This window comes from Homo sapiens, chromosome 5 (assembly GCF_000001405.40).
Source record: "Homo sapiens chromosome 5, GRCh38.p14 Primary Assembly".
Classification (NCBI taxonomy): Eukaryota; Metazoa; Chordata; class Mammalia; order Primates; family Hominidae; genus Homo; species Homo sapiens.
The window spans coordinates 5,018,183-5,035,461 of NC_000005.10; the positions used below are offsets into that span (position 1 = coordinate 5,018,183).

Below are 17,279 nucleotides of genomic sequence, written 5' to 3' on the forward strand. Positions count from 1 at the left end.
CCATTTCTCTGAACAGCTAAACAGCTGTCATGGCCTCCACCTTTCCTCTCCCAAGCATTCTCTGGCTACTTGTCCTGGCCATGGCTTTTGGATTGTGCTTTGTTTGTTTAATGCTCTCTGAATGAGGCATCCAGAACTAATGTGGCACCCACGGATGGGGCCAGAGAGACATCAGAGAAAGGCTCCTGCCTCCTTGACCTCGGCTGCTGGAGTCTGTTGATTCAGCCCCAGGCGACTCAGCCCTTTGGGCTCCCACATCACACTGATGATTCATTCTGATCCCAGTCAATTAGGCCCTCTTTTTGAACACATGCCCCTGTAAGCTGGGGCTCTTCAGTTCTGCTTTGGAGGACATGGTTTTGGATCCCAAATCATCTCGGCTACCTTCTGATGAACTGTCTGACAGCTGACACTGTAAAGATATTCCTGGTTTCACTGGTGACAGGAAGACAACGTAAACTCAGCTATTAGTGTTGGGCCCACAGCCCAAGCTGCAGCCACAGTCACAGTGTCATCACTGCACCATGCCGGCAAGGATGGGGTGCTTGTCTAGGAGCTTTGTGAGCACAGACAGGATGCTGCGTGCCTTTGTAGAGCCAGTCTGTGGTGTCAGGCAGGCAGGAAATGTGCTACCCTTGAGTGAAGCAGGATCCCACACATTTGGCTTGGTTGTCTGAGACCAGATTTGGAAAGCACTAAATCCTGGCCTAAGAAGCCAGGGCTTTATTCTGCAGGAACTGGAAAATCATTGTAACGAAGGGCTAAAGAAGTATTTGGAAAGGTTAACTGGTGGAAAGGTTAAGGATGAACTGAAGATAATACGGTTAACTTTTTATGAACCCCCACAAAGAAGTCAATGTAGGGAAAACTTTGAGTTACATTGTGAGTAAAATAAGAATAATTGTGACATATTTTGGATATAAAGTGAACATATAAAGTCAATCATTCATTCAATACCGTAGCACTTTTGTGTTTTCTCAAAAGAAAACATCCAATTCAAGGTGGGTGAGAGTCAGGTGTGTTTTTTTGTTTTTTTGTTTTTTTTGACGGAGTTTCGCTCTTGTTGGCCAGGCTGGAGTGCAACGGTGTGATCTCGGCTCACTGCAACCTCCGCCTCCTGGGTTCAAGTGTTTCTCCTGCCTCAGCCTCACGATTAGCTGGGATTACAGGCATGAGCCACCACTCCTGGCTAATTTTGTATTTTTAGTAGAGATGGAGTTTCTCCATGTTGGTCAGACTGGTCTCAAACTCCTGACCTCAGGTGATCTATCTGCCTCGGCCTCCCAAAGCGCTGGGATTACAGGCATGAGCCACCGCACCCGGCTGAGAGTGAGTTTTACACAAAATTATTCTTGCTTAACAGGAGTACCAGCATGGTAAGACACATTTGTGGATGCACAGAGCCAGCATGATGCGGTCAGAGAGCAAAGTATCACAGCACAGCAACTTCCTACAAGAATCATTTCTGTTGGCTGCTAAATATGTGATGTGTTCACATGGTTCAAAACCTCTCCCTCTCACCTTGGGGTCCATGTACCTAATCCACACCAGGCCCTCTGCCCACGCAGTTTCAGTTTCTTAGGAATCTTTCCAGTATTTCCTTATAGCAATCAGGCTCCCTTCTGCCTTTTCCTGCTCTTATTTCTTTGATTCTAAAAAAAAGTGAACAATGAAATAGGACACAGTCTAGAAACTAATCCAGAAGCTGAAGTGCACAATGGGCTTCTTAGCACATGTTTATCAAAGACTTATTACCACAACATCCAGTGTGCCTTGGGCTGGAGCGGGTGCCGGGGAGACAGAGCTCTTGTGAGTTCAGAGCTCATGTCCTGCTGAAGGGCCAGGAAAGGCATGAAGAAGAAGCTGATTAAATTATGTCAGGAAGCATCAAGTATTACAAAGAAAAAATAAAAAGCAAAGCAGGATCAGAAGAGTGATGGAGGGTGGGGATTGGGGTGGCCTGATCTGTGTGAGAAAGTGACCGACGGGCAAGACGTCAGAATTGGTTTCTGCCCATAGGGACCAAACAGAAACAACAACAGCAACAACAAATAAAAATTAACGAACAAAGCCATCATGAGCTGTGATAAGTGATCAGAAGGAAAACCGGGAGGCTGGATGATGCATCAGCTCAGCCATGATGTTGGATCTGTAGCCAGTCACAATGAACTGACCCCCAGGTGCATCCCAGTTTGTACTGTGGAATTATTACTCTGTTTTCGACTTAGTGCTAATAGATACTGTGGCTGGTTTATCCAATGGATGGAGTTCACTTTTTCCCTGATAATCCTGTTTTACAGTTTCAAGATAAAAGTAAAACAAAAAAGAAACGAACAAAAACAAAAACCCTATGTAGAAAGTGTTGGGGAGAGGCACGTGGTACAGATACCCCAGACAGACTTTTCTAGAAACCACCTCTCATCTGTCTTGGGCAACATGAGGGGGTACTTGGATTTCTGGGCTGGTCATCCTCTTGTTGCTATTTCATGGAGGACACTGACATTCAGTGCTCCTGGCAAGCTCACTATGCAAATTTATATTATTTTGCCATTATAAAACAAATACACACTGGCATATCAAAGGAAATTTAGAAAATAAAGATTTTTAAAGTCCATTGGCATAATAAATTCAGAAAGAGCAGCTATTTTCAAAATAGTATGCCTTATTGTAAGTCAGTACAGAAACAAATTGTTGTAGCCAAGAGCTCACTGACAGGTGAAAATACTGGAATAACAGAGTAGCAGAATTCTAGAACGGGAAAGTAATTATTAAAAGGAGGAAAGAGCAGAGGCCAGCTTTCTTTAGCTGCCTGCCATTCGCTTCCTGTGAGGTGGATTGCAGATACATCAGGAAGAGAGAACAGGGTTTCACATTTCCCCTGCTTTTTACTCATAAATGTACAGGCTTCACCCAGCCCCGCCCTGGAAGGGAACATGAGGCACAATGTTAAGCAAAGAATCACAGAGATGCATTTATTTATTATGTGTGTTTTTATTTTTTTATTTTTTTGAGACAGGGTCTCACTCTGTCACCCAGGCTGGAGTGTAGTGGCACAATCACGGCTCACCACAGCCTTGACCTCCCCGGCTCAGGTGATCCTCGCACTTCAGCCTCCCAAGTAGCTGGGATTACAGGCATGCACCACCATGCCCAACTAATTTTTGTATTTTTTTGTAGAGAAGGAGTTTCACCATGCTGTGTAGGCTGGTCTCGAACTCCTGGACTGAAGTGATCCACCTGTTCAATCTCCCAAAGTGCTAGGATTACAGGCGTGAGTCACCACGTCTGATGGAGATGCAATTTTTTAAGAAACCCATATCAGTTAAAGATCTAGATTCTTGGTATAATAATGCAACAACATAGCATGAGAATAAACCGTTGCCCTGGCATGCGGAATGATTCAGAAAGCTAGGGAAGCAGCAGCCCAACAGAAGCTTGAGACTCACAGAGGAGGGCATGGGGAGCTCCTGGAGGTGCCATCTGGGCTTGTCAGTGCCATAGTCAAATTTTCATATCTTCATCATCCCGTGAGCCAGAACCTAGGGGTAGAAAATATGCAGAAGGAAAATATACACAATGCATCAAACCATTGCCTATATTATGACTAGATCCAAATTAGCCTTGGGGTATAATGTTTACTTAGTTTACATGCATTATATACTTACTGCAGTAAACAAATTGAAATGTTCATATCACTACTGTACAGAAATGAACACAGGTTCCCTTAATTTTGACACTTTTTGCTTGTTATTTTATTAAATCATAAAGAAATGAAATAAGTCACATGTCTGAACCTCTCGTACCCAGCTCTGGTCACAGGGCCTCCTGTACCTGGGACTAGAGGTGCATTCCATTGTACGAGAATTACTTGATTTTTTCCAGTAGGTTTCCAAAATCAGAGTGATTTTTCACTTGAATTATTTCCTTAGAAATGCATCCCCAAGGAAAAGTGCTACACAAGTACATTTTATTACACTTTTGATCATCAATTTACCAGACCTACTCTTTTATGGAACTGATAATATGAATCTTTCAGTAAAATATGTCTTGCAACACTGGCCCATCATCATCCTCTATATAAAATGAATATACATATGAGCCCCAGAAAAGGGGAATCTTGAAGGCCTAGGTTACAATTGCAGCCATGCCATTGATAGAAACCAAAGTCCTAAAAAATTCCTCTAAAGCCATAAATGAACCAGATATACAAATAACTACATGTGTAAACCTATAAAAATCTTTCTGAAAACAGAAAATATTCGAATAAATTAAGAGTAGATTTGGTACTTAAGACAGTATGTTAAGTATATTGATTTCTTCACGTAACTATGTAAATTAAAGGAAATCGCAATCAAAATTTCCACCATTTTTGGAAGTTGAAAATTCAGTCTTCTGGATAATTCAGAACTAGGCAGGAACATTCTGAACACAGGGAGAACAGGACCTTGCCACTCAATAATATTATATAAAATAAAGCAGCAGTAACTAAAACCGTTCATACTAAAGAAGAATTAAAAGATAGACTGATAGAGCAAGGAGCCCAGCTACATACCAAGTACACATGGCAACTTAATATTTAATGAAGACAGAATTTCAAATGAAGGGAGGAATATATAAATTAGTTAAGGCAATATATAGATTAGTTAAGAAATGGTATTAAAATAACTGCCATCTAGAAAATGACAATGGGTTAACATTATTTCTTACATGAAGAAATATTTTTTAAAATAATTGTGGCCTATGAAATTGTTTTTCTAAACATGAGTGGTTATGTAGATTAGTATATATAACACAGTAATTATTGTGTTGCAAATTATATGCTGAACAAAGTCAAGAAGCAAATAATTTACTCAGTGAACAAAGTCAAGAAGCAAATAATAATGGGATAAAAAGTATTGCAAGGAGGTATTTCAAAATAGCATGTCATTATTTTTGTAATAAAAATTATTTAAATGAAAACCCAGATACACCTATTTATAAAAACATAGTTCCAATATCACAACTGCGTTAAAAAAATTCAAAATCCTCTCCCAGAAAAAGTACTAACTAGAGAGATTTTAATGAGAATTAGGTATTTTTTTTAAGAGAACTACAAATATTATCTAAAAAATGTAAAACAGATTCAAATATATAGAAAAGTGTAACGTGTGTTGGGAGTTAAAATGGATGCCAAAGGACATTGATCTAACTATTTCTTAGTCTCTGAATAACTTGTGGGGATCCTTTAGAACTAAAAGCCTCGCGTAGATGTCTTGTGTACACTGCAAAATCCAGCACGTGTGTGACATTCACAAAGACCTTTTGACATCATCCCAACCACTCACCTAATATGAAACACCAAAGGGAAAATATCCTCAAATAGTTTTTTTTTTTCTGTTTGTGTTTGTGTGTTTTTCATGACATAAGTGAAATACAAGGGGATTCAAACTTCCCTTTAAGTATTTAGCTTGGTGCTTGACAAAGCATCCAACTGAGTGGCTAATTAACTAATTAATTTGAATTAATGTAGTAAGGGAGGTGAAAGAGCAAGATCTGCTGGACTCCTGTAGCTACCATCAGGCAGCTGTGAGCAATCAGAAACACTGGTTTGATAGAACTAATTCAAGTGTGTGTGGTTTTCATCTTCTGGTGGAATTCTTTGAGTCTACAATATGGACACAAGGGGCTCAACTGAAGTGAAAATTTTCCAATATGCAGACGGATTTGTAATTAACGTAGAGAATTAGCCAACTGTCTCTTGTGGGCATGGTCTTATTTCATGGCCAATCCTATTCCATAAAGGAATCTGACACTTTTCTAACCACAGGGGATTGGAGACAGAGCTTTCATCTTGTGTTTGTATATCACCTCCTTTCTCCTTCATTATAGGGGGTTGAATTGTGTCACCCTAAAAAGACGTGTTCAAGTCCGAATCCCCAGTACCTGTGAATGTGCTCTTATTTGGACACAGGGATTTTGAAAACTTAATCAAGTTAAGATGAGGCAATGCTGGATTAAAGTGGGCCCTAAATGCAATGACTCTTTTCCTTATAAAGTGAGAAGTGTCACAGAGACACACAGAGGGAAGAAGGCCACCTGTTTATTCACATTTTCAACTTTATGCCATCTATTCCATCCCGTTATTTGGAAGTCAAGACAACCCTCTTAGCTTTCTTCCTCAGTGCCGTCTCCTGAAACCCAACATGGAGAACCACACAGTTTAGGTACAGGATGGAAGATCCAGACCCCAGACAAGATCGTTGCCTCTCCCCGCACTGTTTACTCTATGGCTACAAATGATCGCCTCTGAGAATGTCTGGATCTAAATGAGTGAGATATTTGTTGTGGTTTGTTTAGAAAGCCTTGTATAGCTTGATTGAGGGTATTGGTGCAGGAAAGTCTTTCTAGCCCCATTGTGAAATCTCTGTGCCTCCTTCAGTTTCCTCATTTGTAAATTAAGACCATTTTACCCCTGTCGTGGGGTTGGTACATCACCACACTCACGGGGCTTACAATGAGCGCATACACCTGCATTTGACCCTCGCTAATCACACTGTGATTAACCAAAGAAGTGAACATGATCTGAATCTGTGAGTCAGGAACCAAGGTAAAGACCCAAATAATATGAAAAACCCAAACCTACATGAAAGTCATGGGATGGTGGACTTTTTGTCATCCCAGGACAGCTGGCCTGTGTTTACCCAAAAACTGGGCAAATTTTCATCCTTAAAAATGGACAAGATGCCCAACACCAGCTTCCTTGCAAGTGCTCACTGAGCTCCCAGCTCCAACGGAACAGATGAAATAGAACAGTGAGTTATCACCAAGAGTGAGTTTTCTATTGAGCAAGATTTTGCCTAGCACCTGTGATCCATGGGATCAGTGAGGCTGTGCTGGTTGTGGGATGTCACCTGGTGGCGGTGATGGGGAGGAAGTGATGGAGAAAAGGTGAATGAAGGAACAGGAAGACCCCTGAGAGGAAGGAAGCATCAGTCTGGAGAAGCTAAGAAAAAAAAAAAAAAAAGAAGCATCCAAGACATTAAACAGAATACAGAAGACCAGATTAGAGGCTCGTTTCAATAGTAGGAGTTATCAGGGATAGGCCAGGGAGGAAGACAGCGCAGCCTGGGCTCCCAAACCATTCTCAGCTGACTTTCCATGTGGCTTTAAAAGGAGCTGGACTGGATGGGGTCTGGACTGTGCACCTAAGGGGACAAATCTCATATTTAAATTTGCAGAAATGTGGGGGCAGGGCCAAGATGGATGATTAGCAACAGCGGCGATCTGAGGCTCCCATCAAAAAAAAAACCAAACAACAACAACAACAAAAAAACCATAATAAGCATGTAAATCCTTCACCGGCAACCAAGATATCCAGGTTATCTCATCAGAACTGACTAGGAGGCTTGCGTGATTCGTGAAGAGAAAGGAAGAGCAGTGTGGTGCGACAGCCCACCCGAGAGCCACACAGGGCATGGAAGCCCCTCCCCACAGCCAAGGGAGGTGGTGAGTGAATGTGCTACCCAGCCGGGTGAGACGAGAAGTCTTCTTCCAATCGAAGGTTTTTCTCAGTCGGCTCATGGTCTCACGGGCTTCTAGGAATGAAGCCTTGGACCACAGCGGTGAGTGTTACAGCTCGATTGGAGAAACGCGCGGACCCAAAGAGTGTGTGGCAGCAAGATTTACTAAAGCGAAAGCAAAAGTAAAGCAAAAGCGAAAGTAAAGCTTCCACTTGGTGGAAGGGAACCGGGAAGGGTAGCAGTTTCTGGCTTGGGTGTCTTATGCTTATATCCCCTCATGACCCCTCCCCTTTTCCTTTTTCTGTCCTATAGAATTAGCTTATTTTCTATCTGCTTGTGGGTTGGCGGGCCTGATTGGTTAAAAACGTCAGGCTGCAGCTAGAGCTTAAACTCCCTATATGATTGGTTGAAGTTTCAGTCCCTTAGCTTGCAGCTATGACTTATTTTGGCTTAGGGGAAAGTCCCCTTAGGGAAGTCCCTGTTGACTCAGGAAGTCCAGCCAACTTAGCCACTTAGTCCTTCACGGGGAAAACGTGCTTTTTCCACGGAACTGTGCAACCCATGGATCAGAAGATCTTACTCACAAACCCAGGCCACCAAGGCCTGGCATCCCCCAACCCCAGAGCTGCACAGATTCTCAACAGCCTCTCAGCTGGAATCTGCTGAAGCCGACTGATCTCCCGGGGGGAGGGGCGACCAGCACCAGAGCTTCAGTTGCCTGCTGTCTACACCATTTGAGCTCCTTGGGTGAGGGGCAGCAGCCAGCACTGGGACCCACAACCGCCTAACAAGCTAAGCTCCCTGGGAGGAGGAAGGGCAGCATCTATCTCTATAGCTCCAGGCTGCGCTTTTCCCCTGCTGGCACCAGGGAGGCTGGACTGCTTGGTCCCAAGATGAGTCCCCAACAGCCCAACACGCCGGCTGTGGCAGTCAGCAGTGGAGTGCCTCTTCAGGCCTGACCCTGACTCATCCTTCCTCACTGGGCAGGGCTTCCCTGCAGAAACTCCAATAACTCCAGCCAGAGGCTCAGGAACAGAACCTGGATCTCTCTGGGCCTGAGCCTCTGGGGGATGGGTGGCCACAGTCTCTGTGGACCAGCAGACTTAGGCTTTCCTCCTGGTAGTTCTGAGGAATCCAGACAGCCCAGATGAGTGGGTTTCCCCCAGCGAGGTACACACCCTCCACCAAGGGACAGTCAAAGAGCTTCATTAAATGGGTCCTGTTCCCCATCCCACCCAACTGGATGAGACTCTCCAACAGGTGTTGTCAGACACCCTATACAGGATCGATCCTACTGGTATTAGGTTGGTGCCCCTTGAGGTCAAAGATCCCAGAAGAAGGAGTAGGCACCTATCTTTGCTGTTCTCCAGTGTTGGAGTAAGCCAGATGAGTAGGGCCTGAAGTGAACCCCCAGCAAACTGCAGCAGCCCTGCAGAAGAGGGACTTGACCATTGGAAGAAAAACAAACAAATAGAAAGCAACAACAGCAGCAGCATCACCACTAACAAAAAAAAAAGCCCCCACAAAAACTCCATCCAAGGGTCAGCAACCTCAAAAATCAAAACTAGACAAACTCATGAAGATGAGAAAGAATCAATGAAAAAATGCTGAGAACCCAAAAGGCGGGAGTGCCTCTTCTCCAAATGAACACAGGGTCTCTCCAGCAAGAGCACAGAACTGGATGGAGGATGAGATGGATGAATTGACAGGAGTAGGCTTCAGAAGATGGGTAACAAAAAAATATGGTGAGCTAAAGGAGCATGTTCTAACCCAATGCAAAGAAGCTAAGAACCTTGATAAAAGATTAGAGGAGCTGCTAACTAGAATAACCAGTTTAGAGAGGAACATAAATGACCTGATGGAGCTGAAAAACACAGCGCAAGAACTTTGTGAAGCATACACAAGTAACAATAGCCGAATCAACCAAGCAGAAGAAAGGATATCAGAGTTTGAAGACCACCTTGCTGAAATAAGGCATGCAGACAAGATTAGAGAAAAAAGAATGAAAAGGAATGAGCAAAGCCTCCAAGAAATATAAGACTTCATAAAAAGATCAAACCTATGATTGTTTGGAGTACCTGAAGGAGACAAGGGGAATGGAAACAAGCTGGAAAACACACTTTAGGATATTATCCAGGAGAACTTCCCCAACCTAGTAAGACAAGCCAACATGCAAATTCAGAAAATACAGAGAACACTACTAAGATACTCCACCACAAGATCAACCCCAAGATGCATAATCATCAGATTCTCTAAAGTCGAAATGAAGGAAAAAATGTTAAGGGCAGCCAGAGAGAAAGGCCAGGTCACCTAAAAAAGGAAGCCCATCAGACTAACAGCAGAATTCTCAGCAGAAACTCTACAAGCCAGAAGGGATTAGGGGCCAATATTCAACATTTTTAAAGAAAAAGGATTTCAAATCAACACCCTAACATCACAATTAGACAGCTAGAGAGGCAAGAGCAAACTAATTCAAAAGCTAGCAGAAAACAAGAAATATCTAAAATTAGAGCAGAATGGAAGGAGATAGAGACACAAAAAACCCTCCAAAAAATCAATGAATACAGGAGCTGGTTTTCTGGGAAAAAAAAAAAAAAACATTAGATAGATCGCTAGTTAGATTAATAAAGAGGAAAAGAGAGAAGAATCAAATAGACACAATAAAAAATGATCAAGGGTATATCACCAATGATCCCACAGAAATACAAACTACCATCAGAGAATACTATAAACACCTCTACATAATAAACTAGAAAATCTATAAGAAATCGATAAATTCCTGGACACATACACCTGCCCAAGACTAAATCAGGAAGAAGTTGAATCCCTGAATAGACGAATAACAGGTTCTGTAACTGAGGCAGTAATTAAGAACCTAGAACCAAAAAAAAAAGCCCAGGACCAGACAGATTTATATCCAAATTCTACCAGAGGCACAGAGAGGAGCTGGTACCCTTCCTTCTGAAATTATTCCAAATAATTGAAAAGGAGGGACTCCTCCCTAACTCATTTAATGAAGCCAGCATCATCCTGATACCAAAACCAGGAAGAGACAAAATGAATAAAGAAAACTTCAGGCCAATATACCTGATGAACATCAATGTGAAAATTCTCAATAAAATACTGGCAAACTGAATCCAGCAGCACATCAAAAAAATTTATCCGCCACGAACAAGTAAGCTTCACCCCTGGGATGCAAGGCTGGTTCAACATATGCAAATCAATAAACGTAATCCAGAACATGAACAGAACCAAAGATAAAAACCGCATAATTATTTCAATAGATACAGAAAAGGCCTTTGATAAAATTAAACATCCCATCACGTTAAAAACTCTCAATAAACTAAGTATTGATGGAACATATCTCAAAATAATAAAAGATATTTATGACAAACCCACAGCCAATATCATATTGAATGGGCAAAAGCTGGAAGCATTCCCTTTGAAAACTGGCCCAAGACAAGGATGACCTCTCTCACCACTCCTATTCAACATAGTTTTGGAAGTTCTAGCCAGGGCAATCAGGCAAGAGAAAGAAATAAAGCGTATTCAGATAGAAAGAGAGGAAGTCAAATTGTCTCTGTTTGCAGATGACATGATTCTATATTTAGTAAACCCCATTATCCCAGCCCAAAAATCCCTTAAACTGATAAGCAACTTTAACAAAGTCTCAGAATACAAAATCAATGTGCAAAAATCGCAAGCATTCCTTTACACCAACAATAGACAATCAGAGAACCAAATCATGAATGAACTCCCATTCACAATTGCTACAAAAAGAATAAAATTCCTAGGAATACAGCTAGCAAGGGATGTGTAGACCTCCTCAAGGAGAACTACAAATCACTCTTCAAGGAAATAAGTGGAAAACAAATGGAAAAACATTCCATCTTCATCAATAGGAAAAATCAATATTGTGAAAATGGTCATACTGCCCAAAGTAATTTATAGATTCAATGCTATACCCATCAAACTACCAATGACATTCTTCACAGAATTAGAAAAAAAAAACCTATAAATTTCATATGGAATCAAAGAAGTCCCCATATAGCTAAGACAATCCTAAGCAAAAAGAACAAAGCTGGAGGCATCAAATTACCTGACTTCAAACTATACTACAAGGTTACAATAACCATATCAGCATGGTACTGGTACCAAAACAGGCATATAGACCAATTGAACAGACCAGAGAGCTCAGAAACAACACCACACCTCTCCAACAATCGGATCTTCGACAAACTTGACAAAAACAACCAATGGGGGAAAGGTCTCCTATCCAGTAAGTGGTGCTGGGGAAACAGGCTAGCCATATGCAGAAAACTGAAAGTGGACCCCTTCCTTACACCTTACACAAAAAATAACTCAAGATGGGTTAAAGACTTAAATTTAAAACCCAAAACCATAAAAACCCTAGAAGAAAAGTTAGGCAATACCATTCAGGACATAGGCATGGGGAAACATTTCATGATGAAAAATGACAAAAGCAATTGCAACAAAAGCCAAAATTGACAAATGAGACATAATTAAATTGAAAAGCTTCTCCACAGCAAAAGAAACTAGCATCAGAGTGAACAGGCAACCTGCAGAATAGGAGAAAATATTTACAATTTACCCATCTGACAAACGTCTAATATCCAGAATTACAAGGAATTTAAACAAATTTACAAGAATAAAAACAACCCCATCAAAAAGTGGGCAAAGAATATCAACAGACACTTCTCAAAAGAAGACATTTACACAGTCAACAAACATATGTAAAAAGCACAACATCACTAATCATCAGAGAAATGCAAATAAAAACCACAATGAGATACCATCTCACACCAGTCAGAATGGCTATTATTAAAACAACACGAAAAATAGATGCTGGCAAGGCTATGGAGAAATAGGAACGGTTTCACACTGTTGTTGTCAAAATAAATTAGCTCAACCATTGTGGAAGATGGTATGGCGATTCCTCAAGAATCTAGAACCAGAAATACCATTTGACCCAGCAATCCCATTACTGGGTATATACCCAAAGGAATATAAATCATTCTACTATAAAGACACCTGCTCATGTATGTTTATTGCAGCACTATTTACAATAGCAAAGTCATAGATCCAACCCAAATGCCCATTAATGACAGACTGGATAAAGCAAATGTGGTACATATACAGCATGGACTACTATGCAGCCATAAAAAGGGATGAGATTATGTCCTTTGCAGGGACATGGATGAAGCTGGAAGACATCATCCTCAGCAAACTAACACAGGAACAGAAAACCAAACACTGCATGTTCTCACTCATAAGTGGGAGTTTAACAATGAGAACACAAGGACACTGAGAGGGGGACAACATATACCAGGTCCTGTTTGGGGGGTGAGGAGTGAGGGGAGGAAACTTAGAAGACAGGTCAATAGGTGCAGCAAACCACCATTGCACATGTATACTTATGTAATAAATTTGCATGTTCTGCACTTGTGTCCCAGAATTTAAAGTAAAATAAAAAATATAAATAAATAAATTTGCAGAAATGAGTGACATTGCCTTAACCTTCTTTTTACTTACTACATTTGCTTTTAATTATGTCTATAACTATTATACCTAGGGATTATTATTGTAACTAATCATTACATTTAATATTAAACATTTGATAAATGCAGAAAAGCATAAGGGAAAAAATAACAATGGCCCCATAATGATACTATTCAATGATTACTTTTAATATTTGGTAAGTTATCTGATTCTTCAAAATGATATCATGCTATTTTAAAAACAAATTTTAAATAATGGAAAATTTTTTTCAGGCAATTGAATATTTTGCCACAAAATTATTTCAAATGACTCTGTAGCCATAGAGACGGACTGATTTACATCTCCAATTCTTTTTTATTGCATAGTTCATTTGTTTTTAGGCTTCAGCATTAAAAATAAGGCCATGTCAAACATACTTGAGACACAAGGCTGAAAAATGTTTTCTTTCTACTGCTTTTGTTTCTACTACCCCTCTCAAAAATCTACACCTTCATATTCCAGTTGTGTTTATACGTTCCAGTTGTGTTTGGCTCTGGGTTCCCACCCATTTCTCATCCTGAATTGTAATTCCTATAATTCCCACGTGTCAAGGGAGGGACCTTGTGGGAGGTGATTTTATAATGGGGGCATTTTCCCCCATGCTGTTCTCGCGATAGTGTATGAGTTCTCACAAGATCTGATGGTTTTATAAATGGTAGCTTTTCCTGTGTTCTGACACGATCTCTCTCACACACACCTGCCACCATGTAAGGTGTGCCTGCTTCCCCTTCCACCATGATTGTAGCTTTCCTGAGGCCTCCCCAGCCACGCAGATCTGTGAGTCAATTAAACCTCTTTCCTTTATAAATTACCCAGTCTTGGGAAGTTCTTTATAGCAGTGTAAAAATGGACTAATACAGGTGTTTAACCATAAACTGGGAAATCATAAACATTTTCATTGTTTTAAACTTTTCCAACTTGACAGGTGGCAATAATTTCACATTCATATTTGAAATGTATACCCCACTGATCATCACTGAGATTAGTCAATTTCAGGGTTGATGGTATTTGTACTGGTTATTTTTAAAATTCCGAATTGCTTATTCTCATTCTTAATTATTTTTTCAGATTCTATCTTTCTTAATTATTTGCGGGACATCTTTGTGTATTAATGATATTAACATTTATGAGTCACATTTATTGTTTTTTATTTGATTTTGGATAATATCATCATATAATGATTTCAAATTTCTGTAGACACGACTCTAAATCTTTTATTCTATAGTTTCTGGTTTAGGTTTTTGTTGCATACTTAACTTGGCCTTTTGCAACTCCAAGTTCTAATAAATAAACTACTTTTTGTTCTTTTTCTGGATTTAACATTTAAATAGCTAATCCCTCTGCAAATTGTGTGTGGGCGTGTGGGGAGGAGATGGAGAGTTTGACTTATTTTCTTTCCATCCCCTAGATTCTAATCTGCCTGGCTAGGCTCAGTTCTTTTTTTTCTCTCTAAAAGAGAGATGAATTTTATAATTATGTTTTAGAAAACATATTCTTTTATACATTTTGAAAAGGTTATGTCATAGCCATAGATTCATTTGATTAAAAAAATAAAGATTTCACATTTTCATTTGTGTCAGATGTTTTTAAAAATCCTAATGTACAGGTTGGATTCACTGGGAAGCAGCCTCTGAAATACAGATGAACATCCTGGAAGTTTTTTAGGGAGTGATCACAGGACCAATACCTATGAATGGAGGGGAAGAGAGGAGAATCGGGCAGAGGAAGAAACGGGTTGAGGTGCAGCCCCAGTGAGATCTCTGCTAACCCTACAGGGAGCAGACCTTATATCTAAAATGCCCCCTAAGAGCGTTCTAGAGTTGGTGTGAGGAGACAGAGCCTATATACTACTGCATTAACCAGTCATTGTCAAGGCTGCCCAGAAGGCAGCAGGACCTTGGGCAAGGTGACTCTCAGCCAAGGCAATTCCTGAAGATCTACCAGCCCAAAATGTTTTCGGCAGCCAGGGAAATGGAGTCCTTCTGTTCTGGAAGGGGATCTGGGAGGTGGAGCCCAACACCCTTGAAAGCCCACTGTTGTGGCCTCTCTGATAGGGTCACTACATGTGAGACCTGGGAGCAGCTCACCCAGGAGGCTGCTAGCATGTCCTCCTGGAAAAACTTAGCAGAGGAAATTTCCTGGAATGAACTACAGTCTCTGCCACTACAGCCAGCCTCAAATCTTCAAATGATGCTCATATCTTTCCCTTCTTTCCATACAAGGCTGTCATCACACTTGGACAGCATCTCTTCTGGTTTGCCTGGGCCATGAACCAGCTCCTGTCCCTGGAGGTCTGAGTCTGTGTTTATCATGCTCTTATCAGGGAATGGTTCCATTCACTGCTAAAACTGGAGAAGAAAGTCCTAAGAAATACCCACGTGGATACCATGTGTCAAGCTTATTTCTCCCCGGCTCCATGGAGAGGTGACGGCACACCCTACTGAAGGCAGGGGCAGCTACCTTGCTGCAGCAGTAGGACCTCTTCTAGGTGGCCTGGCATGCCATGTGCACTGCAGCACCTCCCTTTCTATCAAGTGGGCCATTTAGTCTGATGTGGTGTCACAAGAAATGCCATACTGGGAATCAGTCATTCTGTAAGAGGGTTCCCTTCCTTTGGCACAAGCAGTCTGAACTGCCCACGTGGTGACTGGAGTTTTGCATTCAGTGGAATTCTGAGTGTATCCTTTGGAAATCAGGACTTCTAAAATCCACAGAAATCTCAACTGTCTAGATGAAAATCACACATTCACAAGTGGATATGATGACTGAAGAGGCCACTTCTGCTGAAACCTAATGATTTTATATGTTGGAAATGTAGCACATGAAATGGTCATTGACTTAGCACCTACACTGAATTTTAAAAAATGACCCCTCATCCTCACAGGACATCACCTCTGAGCTGGCCCAGCAGATGTATCTTCGTAGGCTGTCCCATTATTCTGGACTGGACGCTTCTGATGGTGTGATGTGTGGTGAGATTAGTGCTGTGGTCACGTCCCCACCGTCACGTCTCCGTTTTTATAAAGTGGGTCCCTGGGTATGACGTGATGTCACATGAAATGCCTTATTATGCACCAAACATTCTGTAAACCCCCAGAGCAACAGAATACTGTGCTGAGGCCCCAAAACAGAAAGGAAAGCTCACCACCAGAATGTGCCTTTTCCTTATCAAAAAGAATTGCTGCCCCTTACAGGACAGGAGGACTCCAATTGTGACCAAGTTGGAGCAGCCTTGAGCCACAACTCAGACTTATTTTCATTCTCTGCTCATTGGCCATTAGGAACCCGATCCTTATGGTATGTTCACACTGTCTCCAGGCTGGGCACAGTGGCTCACACTTGTAATCCCAGCACTCTGGAGGCCAAGGTGGGTGGACGGCTTGAACTCAGAGTTTGAGACCACCGTGAGCAACATGACAAAACGCTATCTCTACAAACAATATAAAAATTAGCCTGGTGTGGTGGTGCACGCCTGTGGTCCCAGCTACTAGGGGCTGATGTGGGAGGATTGCTTGAGCCTGGAAAGTGGAGGTTGCAGTGAGCTGAGATTGCACCACTGCACTCCAGCCTGGGTGACACAAGGAGACGCTGTCTCAGTAAGTAAATAAATAAATAAATAAATAAATAAATACCTGTTCACAACTCATTCACAGAAATAATGCTAACTTTTATGGTCGATGCATGATGTATACCGTTTTTTGGTAAAAATGTTGTAATTGTAAACATATTTTCCTATCTTGATGGATATTTGTTATAAGCAGTGTCAAACATTTCATGGAAAGAGGTGTTATATACATATTATACATAAATTCATGAACTTCTTTATCTTTCTTTCCTCTGACGTTAGATGTTTAGAATTTTTTAAATTGTTTGCTCTCATTGGTAATGCCACCAGGGAAGCTTGGTTCATCACATCTGGGAGAACAGATCCTTTTTATAAATGCCTAAGAGATGTTTTGAATGATTCAAGTTTTGACTGTCTTTAGAGCTTTCCCCATATGTTGCCATATGGATTTCAAAAGGTTAAATTTTTACATGTATAAAATTATTTAATACATGCTCTATTATATTTTAACATAATAAATATATGAAATACTTTTTTTACATTTTTTAAGTTAACTACTTTAATAAATTTATCATGGTAGTTTTTAGCTGATGCATACAGATTGCCAGGCTATTTAATCAGTTAATCTGAAAATAATTATAGATCAAGTTTCTTAA

The 17,279-nt window shown here is 41.0% G+C and overlaps 1 long non-coding RNA gene across 1 annotated transcript in view, besides 3 other annotated features; it reads left to right on the plus strand.

The window, feature by feature from the left end:
* Positions 7,907 to 8,296: an enhancer, noted in NCBI's record as "active region_22317". NCBI's record gives its function as "activates an Ori minimal core promoter by ATAC-STARR-seq in GM12878 lymphoblastoid cells {active_cell/tissue: GM12878}" and the evidence as "EXISTENCE:reporter gene assay evidence [ECO:0000049][PMID:35858748]".
* Positions 8,307 to 8,486: an enhancer, noted in NCBI's record as "active region_22318". NCBI's record gives its function as "activates an Ori minimal core promoter by ATAC-STARR-seq in GM12878 lymphoblastoid cells {active_cell/tissue: GM12878}" and the evidence as "EXISTENCE:reporter gene assay evidence [ECO:0000049][PMID:35858748]".
* Positions 8,497 to 8,576: an enhancer, noted in NCBI's record as "active region_22319". NCBI's record gives its function as "activates an Ori minimal core promoter by ATAC-STARR-seq in GM12878 lymphoblastoid cells {active_cell/tissue: GM12878}" and the evidence as "EXISTENCE:reporter gene assay evidence [ECO:0000049][PMID:35858748]".
* The window catches only part of LINC01020 (long intergenic non-protein coding RNA 1020), a 35,646-nt gene continuing 34,543 nt past the window's right edge, over positions 16,177 to 17,279 (plus strand). The window contains exon 1 of the long non-coding RNA NR_026994.1: positions 16,177 to 16,355. This is a non-coding gene — a long non-coding RNA (long intergenic non-protein coding RNA 1020). The remainder of the gene's footprint in view (positions 16,356 to 17,279) is intronic.